This window comes from Homo sapiens, chromosome 1 (assembly GCF_000001405.40).
Source record: "Homo sapiens chromosome 1, GRCh38.p14 Primary Assembly".
Classification (NCBI taxonomy): Eukaryota; Metazoa; Chordata; class Mammalia; order Primates; family Hominidae; genus Homo; species Homo sapiens.
In genome coordinates, this window is record NC_000001.11 from 204,032,445 (window position 1) to 204,041,674 (window position 9,230).

The window sequence follows — 9,230 nt, forward strand, 5'->3', positions numbered from 1 at the left end:
TTGGGTTTTGGAGAAGCTTGCTTTTTAATAAATGGGACAGATGTATCTGGCACCATCCCTTCCTCCTATATCCTGCCTTGAATAGGGATGTGATACCTTGAGCCATGGCATCCACATTGTGACTGTAAGAAAAAGGCCAAGAAAAATACAGGACATCATCCCCAATATTATTGTGTCCTAAACCAATGCCGGCTACTGACAATATCCAGACTTCTTGCTATTAAAAAAAAAAATCTCAACTTATTTCATCTCCTACTAGTTGGCTTTTCTGTTTCCTATCATTGAAAAACATTCCTAAGTGACAAACTTGCTATGGACATTTTCATAAGGAAGGAAACTTCAAGGAGGCCCTTAGCCTTTACAGTTGAACTGGGAGATGAGTCACCAAGATCCTCTATCTAGGAAAGAAAGTACCTGGAAAGGAGCTCCCTCCCTCCCTGCCACTGGAGGACCTGGACCTCCTAGCTCTGCTTGGGTGCCACTGTTAGGCTTTCCCCAGATGAAGGGCCCTGCACTGTTCATTTTGTGCAGGATAAATCCAGGCCCTGGGCTGAGTGCCAAACAAGTGAAAAAGACAGCTTCACCCTGATAGTCCCTCTGCCTCTCTGTCCCCTGAGCATCCCAGATTGTCCTCTGGAGGCACGTGTGCCTTGAGCCACGGCTGGGGCTCACTCCCAGGACAACGGTACAGCTGCTGTAGAGGCATAGGTTTGTCTGCTCTTGCCCCATCCTTCCTCCTGGGATCCTCGGAGCACATAACCCCATCTCAAGAGGCTTTCCAGACAAACTCTGGGGATCCAGGCAGCCTGCAAAATAAAAAACAGACCCCAGAGAATCAGTAGAATGAAACTAAAGTCTTCACTATGCTATCACTTTACTGCCTTTGTTAGGAGATGAAGTAGTTAATCTGGGATAATTGTTCTCTCTCTCCTTCAAGGGCTCCTCTGCCATCCTCCATTTCAGCTCAGTCTCATCCTTCATTCATTTTTACGGTTTCCATTTCTCCTAAAACCCTGTTAGTTCCTGAGCATCCTCTGCCAGCCAGACTTTCCTCCTGAGTTCCAGCCTCAGATATTCAGCTATTGCACAACTGCACCTGGGCTCCATAAACTTATCATGCCTAAAACATAAGTGTTTCCTGTCCCCAAATCTGCTTCTACCCCTGCATACCTTAATGGCACCAATACCCCCATAATAATTTCCTGTTGCTGCTATAACAAATTGCCACAAACCTAGTGGTTTATAAGATCACAGATTTACCTTACAATTCTTTAGGTCAGAAATCCAAAATGTGTCTCACTGGGTGAAAATCAAGGTAGAAGCTGTGCCATATTCTCCCTGGAGGTTCTGGGGAAAATCCATTTCATTGCCTTTCCAGCTTCCAGGCACTGACAGCATTTCTTGGCTGGTGGCCTCCTTACATCTGCAAAGCCAGCAATCACATCACACCAACCTCTGCACCCATCAACACATCTCTTTCTCTGATGCTCTTGCCTCCCTCTTTTTACTTATAAGGCCTCTTGTGGCTGGGCCGGGCACAGTGGCTCATGCCTGTAATCCCAGCACTTTGGGAGGCTCAGGCAGGTGGATCGCCTGAGGTCAGGAGTTTGAGACCAGCCTGGCCAAAATGGCAAAACCCCGTTTCTACTAAAAATACAAAAATTAGCTGGGCGTGGTGGCTCATGCCTGTAATCCCAGCTACTTGGGAGCCTGAGGCAGGAGAATTGCTTGAACCCGAGAGGCAGAGTTTGCAGTGAGCCGAGATCGCGCCACTGCACCACTCTAGCCTGGGTGACAGAGCCAGCCTCTGTCTAAAAAAAAAAAAAAAAAAAAAAAAAAATTCTCTTGTAATGACATCGCGCACACCTGCTAATCCAAGATTTATTAATTTAATCACATCTGCAATGCCCTTTTCCTTTCCTTTCTTTCTTTCTTTCTTTCTTTCTTTCTTTCTTTCTTTCTTTCTTTCTTTCTTTCCTTCCTTCCTTCCTTCTTTTTTTTATTGAGACAAGGTCTCGCTTTGTCACCCAGGCTGCAGTGCAGTGGCACAATCTCAGTTCAGGGCAACCTCCACCTTCCAGGTTCAAGTGATTCTCATGCCTCAACCTCCTGAGTAGCTAGGACTACAGGTGTGCACCACCATGCCCAGCTAATTTTTGTATTTTTAGTTGAGATAGGGTCTCACCATGCTGCCACCATGCCGGCGTATGTTACTAAGTTTTGGGGTAATTTGTTATGCAGCAATAACTCTTTCAAGAGACTAGAGAGGTGAGAGTTTCGCAGGGGGGCAGTCTTTTAAAGCAGTTCCCCATAAAAATGTCCTTAAACAGGACAGGCATGGTGGCTCACACGTGTAATCCCGGCACTTTGGGAGGCCGAGGTAGGTGGATCACTTGAGGTCAAGAGTTCAAGACCAGCCTGGCCAACATGGTGAAACCCTGTCTCTACTAAAAATGCAAAAATTAGCCAGGCATGATGGTGTGCACCTCTAATTCCAGCTACTCAGGAGGCTGAGGCAGGAGAATTGCTTGAACCCAGGGGGTGGAGGTTGCAGTGAGCTGAGATCGCACCACTGCACTCCAGCCTGAGTGACAGAGTGAGACTCGGTCTCAATTAAAAATATATATATTCTTTTTTTTTTTTTTTTTTTTTTTTTTTGAGACGGAGTCTCACTCTGTTGCCCAGGCTGGAGTGCAGTGGCACGATCTCAGCTCACTGCAAGCGCCGCCTCCTGGGTTCACACCATTCTCCTGTCTCAGCCTCCCCAGCAGCTGGGACTACAGGCACACGCCGCCACGCCTGGCTAATTTTTGTATTTTTAGTAGAGACGGGGTTTCACCGTGTTAGCCAGGATGGTCTGGATCTCCTGACCTTGTGATCTGCCCGCCTCGGCCTCCCTCCCAAAGTGCTGGGATTACAGGCGTGAGCCACCGTGCCTGGCCAAAAAAAAAAATTCTTAAAAAAAAAAAAAATTCTTAAACAGCTGTGTCACCTGGCACATTTTTGATAGCTGTGTCCTCTGCCTGGGATGCCTGATTTTCACATGGCCGACTCTTATCACTCAACTCTTTCTAGAAGGATTCTTCCAGCAGCAGGCCGGGCTTGGTGGCTCACGCCTGTAATCCCAGCATTTTGGGAGGCCGAGGAGGGCGAATCACGAAGTCAGGAGATCGAGACCATCCTGGCTAACATGGTGAAACCCCGTCTCTACTAAAAAATACAAAAAATTAGCCAGGCGTGGTGGCGGGCGCCTGTAGTCCCAGCTACTCGGGAGGCTGAGGCAGGAGAATGGCGTGAACCCGGGAGGCAGAGCTTGCAGTGAGCCGAGATCGCGCCACTGCACTCCGGCCTGGGCGACAGAGCGAGACTCCGTCTCAAAAAAAAAAAAAAGAAAGAAAGATTCTTCCAGCTGCCGCGCCCCGCCTTTCCGCAGTCATCTTCTGCACGGCATTTACGACTCTGTTAGGTTGCTTGGTTGGTTTTTACTGTCTCCCCCACTAGAATGGAGGTTCCATGAGAGCAGGGAGCACCCTCTTGCTCAGCATGGTGCCCTCAGCACACAGAACAGTGCTTGGCATAAATAGATGAGCCCAATGGCTCTCATTTTCTGCCTTTGCTTCCCCGCCACCCATGCTTCCTGTCATACTCTGCAGGACTTGAAGTTGCTTTTCAGTCATTCTGTCTCACACATTGTTCCTTCTCCTAGAATCCCTTTTCTCCTTCTCTTCTTCAGTTGTTGAGATGATTGAGACCTACATATCTTTTTTTTTTAATTAATTAATTAATTTTTTTTTTTTTACAGGGCCTTGCTCTGTCGCCCAGGCTGGAGTGCAGTGGTGCGACCACAGCTCACTACAGCCTTGACCTCCCAGTCTCAAGCAATCCTCCCACATCAGCCTCCCTAGTAGCTGGGACCACATGTTTGTGCCACCCTGCCTGGCTAATTTTTGTATTTTTTGTGGATACAGGGTTTCATCATGTTGCCCAGGCTGGTCTCAAACTCCTGGGCTCAAGCGATCTGCCCACCTCAGCCTACCAGAAAGTGTTGGGATTACAGGTGTGAGCCACTGCACCCAACAACACCTACGCATCTTTTAAGAAAGGTCAGCTGGCCGGGCACGGTGGCTCATACCTGTAATCCCGGCACTTTGGAAGTTCGAGGCCAGTGGATCACGAGGTCAGGAGTTTGAGACCAGCCTGACCAACATGGTGAAACCCCGTCTCTACTAAAAATACAGAAATTAGCCAGGCGTGGTAGCGCACACCTGTAATCCCAGCTACTCAGGAGGTTGAGGCAGGAGAATCACTTGAATCCGGGAGGTAGAGGTTGCAGTGAGCCGTGATTGTGCCGTTGCACTCCAGCCTGGGTGACAGAGCAAGACTCTGTCTCAAAAAAAAAAAAAGAAAGAAAAAAGAAAAAGAAAAAAAGCAAGCAAGCAAGCAAGCAAGAAAGGTCAGCCACCTGTCATCTGTCCCTCCTAAGTGCAAGTGTCGCATGCTGGGCTTCCCTGCCATCACACTTACTGTCCACTGGGGCTGGCAATGACTGTTGAAGTGTCTCTGCCCTGCCAGGTGTTGAAAGGCTGCGTCTCCTTCACTGTTGCATCCCTAGGGTCCATGGTTGTCTCACTGAGTGTTTGCTGAATAGAGAGGTGAGTGATGATGAGGAGGGCCCTGTGAGAGGCCCCTGGGGTTGGCCTGTACCTACACGATGTTCTCCTTCTCAGGGCCTTGCCCCTGCTGGCTGAGGAAGGGATGGGATTTATTCTGCATTCCCTATATGTGAGTGTCTCAACCTAAGTAAAACTCACTTCTGCTGTGCAATGATCCTTGAGGTGAACTTGGGGCACTGGAAACAGTCTCGGGGCGGGGGTATGGGCAAAGGAGTGACCTCAGCTGCCAATCACTGGAAGCCCAGAACAGCTTTCTCTCATCTCAAGGTGGGATGCCGCTGCATCACCTTCCTCTCATGCTGCATCGGATAGTTCCCTGGACAACTGCGCTCCATGGACTCACAAGCCCGCGCGATGGGAGTCAGGGGAGGCAACGTTGTCTGCCCTCCTCTCCTCCCACAGCATGCAGGAGGCCAGCGGTGGCGGGTGGCTTTGGTGATAGGAGGGAGTGTGTGAATTTGGGGCAGAAACCTGGTGGGAGAGAAAAAAGAGAGAAGAGAGAAAGATGAGAAGACAGTGGCCACTGCTGGCTTGCAGGCATTGACTCCCACTCCAAAACGCCTGACATAGCCTCCTGGATGTAGAATATCTCCCCTCCCCAACACAAAAAACCCCCTTTCCAGAACAAAAGCCCTGTCACTGAAAGCACTTATTTAACAACAATAACAGCAGAACACACAAGGTACAAAAACATTTTTCTAAAAAATTTTCCCAATTCAATTCAACAAATATTTATTTTCCAGAAAAAGCGGAGATATATAAAGAAATAGAAATGTGTGGGTTTTTTTCTTGTTTTTGATTGAAAAGCCTATCGGCACAACCAGGAGAACAGCACTGCCCTGGTGAGCCAAGCACAATGGGAAAGCATTTTTAAAATAGAAAAGAACACTAATATATAAATATACCCAGGTAATTTTAAAACATAGTGCAGCCTCAATGCTAGGGTGGGGGATGGGCCTCAGGCTCACAGGCAACCTGTGTTCTGTCTTCCCTGTGGGCTGCCTGGGGATACAGTTTAATCCAAGGTGAGCCTCCCTCATTGTCTTAAAAAACCATGTGATATGGGAGAAAATGTAAAACTATCACTAATAAAGATATACCTAACTAGCAAAAACCAATGTGGAAAATAATTTAGAAAGCAAATGGGCCGGGCGCAGTGGCTCACGCCTGTAATCCCAGCACTTTGGGAGGCTGAGGCAGGTGGATCACCTGAGGTCAAGAGTTTGAGACCAGCTTGGCCAATATGGTGAAACCCCATCTCTACTAAAAATTTAAAAAATTAGCCAGGCATGGTGGTGGATGTCTGTAATTCCAGCTACTCAGGAGGCTGAGGCAGGAGAATCTCTTGAACCCAGGAGGTGGAGGTTGCGGTGAGCTGAGATCGCACCATTGTACTCCAGCCTGGGCAACAAGAGTGAAACACTGTCTCAACGAAAAAAATAAAAAAGAAGAAAAGAAAAGAAAGAAAGCAAATGAGAGGCTGGACACAGTGGCTCATGCCTGTAATCCCAGCACTTTGGAAGGACTAGGCAGGCAGGTGGATCACCTGAGGTCAAGAGTTCGAGACCAGCCTGGCCAACATGGTGAAACCCTGTCTCTACTAAAAATACAAAATTAGCCAGGTGTGGTGTTGCATGCCTGTGATTCCAGCTACTTGGTAGGCTGAAGCAGGAGAATTGCTTGAGCCTGGGAGGCAGAGGCTACAGTGAGCCGAGACTGTGCCATTGCACTGCAGCCTGGGCAGTAAGAGTGGAAACTCTGTCTCAAAAAAAAAAAAAAGGAAAAGAAAAAGAAAAGAAAAAAGAAAGAAAGCAGATGGGAGTCAGGAGAGCCAGTTTTGGGTAAGAAAAGAGCACCGAACTAGAAGACAGAAGGCCACTTCCCTGCCCCATGCCTCAGTTTCCTCATCTGTAAAATGGATTCTGTCACCTCTACTATTCCTTCTGGCTCTAATAGGCCATGATTCTAAAGGGGTTGCTTAGGAATGTAGGGGCAAACATGGTGGAGGAGATGTGGAAATCCCATTAGGGACCTTCTAGCTACCTCTATCTGAAGACAAAGACCAGGGAAGACATCCCAGGCAAATGAATTGCGACCACAAAACTCCTTTAGGGAAACCAGTGGGCCCTGCCAAACTGAGCAGGAGTTTTTAACCTGTGTGCCATGAATCCTTTACAGGTTTTGATCATTGTGTCAAATTGATCTTTGCCACTGCTGTGGATACACGTATATTTCAGTGATTTCTTTTGCACAGAAGGGGGACATGGGCAAGTTGTGTGAGATGACACACAGTGGGCACCACTTGCCGTTGGGTAGAGGCAAGAGGCATTGCTGAACAGGCTCAACTTGGCCAAGGATGGTGTCTGATATGAACTGGATGTGTGTCCTTGCTCAAATCTCATATTGAAATGTAATCCCCAGTGCTGGAGGTGGGGCCTGGTGGGTGGCGATTGGATCATGGGAGTGGTTTCTCATGGTTTAACATCATCCTCCTGGTACCGTCATCACCATAGTAAGTTCTCTTGAGATCTGGTTGTTTGAAAGTGTGTGGCACCTCCCTGCTCTCTCTCTTCCTCCTGCTGTGGCCATGTGGAGCTCCTTGCTCCCACTTTGGCTTCCGCCACTATTGGAAACATTCTGAGGCCTCCCCAGAAGCAGAAGCCATGATGCTTCCTATACAGCCTGCAGAATCATGAGCCAATTAAACCTCTCTTCTTTGGCCGGGCGCGGTGGCTCACGCCTGTAATCCCAGCACTTTGGGAGGCCAAGGCGGGCAGATCACGAGGTCAGGAGATCGAGACCATCCTGGCCAACATAGTGAAACCCCATCTCTACTAAAAATACAAAAATTAGCTGGGCGTGGTGGCACGCGCCTGTAATCCCAGCTACCTGGGAGGCGGAGGCAGGAGAATCCCTTGAACCAGGGAGTTGGAGGTTGCAGTGAGCTGAGATCGCGCCACAGCACTCTAGCCTGGCGACAAAGTGAGACTCTGTCTCAAAATAAATAAATAAATAAATAAACCTCTCTTCTTCATAAATTACCCCAATCTCAAGTTTGTTTGTTTGTTTTTTAATAGCAGTGTGAGAATGGACTAATACAGTGTCAGAGAGAGGAACAACTCTACCCCACTGGTGACATATCCACACCAGTGAGAGCTGATGGCCAATGCTTTCATGGAGTCTGTGTATGGAGACTGTAGGGGTGAGTTGATGGCTCTGCTGGCTTGTTCAGTGTTGTTCTGAGTTCTTTTAGTCTCTTCAAGGATATTGCCAACACCTGTAATATTTGTAACATTACAAATATTAAATATTTATATTTATATTTATATTAAATCTTTATAAATAAATATTTAGGGCAGGCATGGTGGCTTACACCTGTAATCCCAGCACCTTGGGAGGCCGAGGCCAGCGGATCACGAGGTCAGGAGTTCGAGACCAGCCTGGCCAATATGGTGAAACCCCGTCTCTACTAAAAATACAAAAATTAGCCAGGTGTGGTGGCGGGCACCTGTAGTCCCAGCTACTCGGGAGGCTGAGGCAAAAGACTCTCTTTAACCTGGGAGGTGGAGGTTGCAGTGAGCCAAGATCGTGGCACTGCACTCCAGCCTGGGCAACAGAGCAAGATTCCATCTCGAAATAATAAATAAATAAATATGTAAATATTTAAAAATACAACATCTGTAATAAATGTACCATGAGCACTGTGGAGAACTCTGGGTACAAGGGATTCCCATGTTCCTTGCCTTACTGGTCAGTGAATTAGGCCTCTCGGGTCTCACTCCATTTTCTTCCTGTGCCTGAAGCACTTGTCTGTTTCAGCTGCCTTCTCTCCCCTGCTCTGGTTCTCTGCCCTCACCCCATACCCAACCCACACAGATGTACCAAGGGGGAACCTGCCATATCCTCTACCCCCACCCCATGCCCACAGACAATCCTGTCCTGAAGGCCATCCCCTGGCTTAATTATTTGCAGACCTTCCTTCTCTTTTGGGTCTCCCAAAGTCCAAGACTTATACATCAACCAGGTGCAAACAAACAAGCAAACAAGCAAAAAACAAGAAATGAAAGTCCAAGACTCTTCAGATAATTAAACCTGGAGGGAGAGGAAGGGCGAGGCCCACCCCCTGGGCTTTTGGAATCGGGCGGAGTGATTAGGTCATAATTGATCTTTATTGTTGCAGCTGAAGATTATTTATCCCACTCCCAGAGGAGCATGTGTCACCCGCCTGCCCCACCCCCAGCTTTCTGAAGCTGAACCGCCTGCACCCAAGTGGAACAGGGGGACTGGGGGTGGTGGCTGGGCTGTTTACTCATTCTCCCTCCTTGGGGGCCTCTGGCAGCTGCCCCTCCCTGACACGTCACATGGATTTTTCTCACTCTTCTCTTCACTGCCACGGGGCATCTCAGCCCTCCTGGGGACCTGGGCCAGGGACCAAAGCCCAGGCCAAAGACAGCGTCCTTAACAGCAGCCTCGGTTCACGAGTTCCTAAGAACTTTCCCAGGCATGCCCTGGAAAGGAAACAGGGGCGGGAGGAATGAGGTTCCCTAAAAATACATT

General features: G+C 48.3%; 1 long non-coding RNA gene across 1 annotated transcript; it reads right to left on the minus strand.

Moving 5' to 3' along the window:
* On the minus strand, positions 1-8,821 carry LINC00303 (long intergenic non-protein coding RNA 303). The gene is made up of 6 exons (NR_027902.2): positions 8,648-8,821; positions 7,821-7,950; positions 5,017-5,144; positions 4,525-4,640; positions 1,261-1,423; positions 1-806 (listed from the first exon to the last, which is right to left on the minus strand). It is a non-coding gene; the product is annotated as a long intergenic non-protein coding RNA 303 (long non-coding RNA).
* Positions 8,822-9,230: the final 409 nt, after the last annotated feature.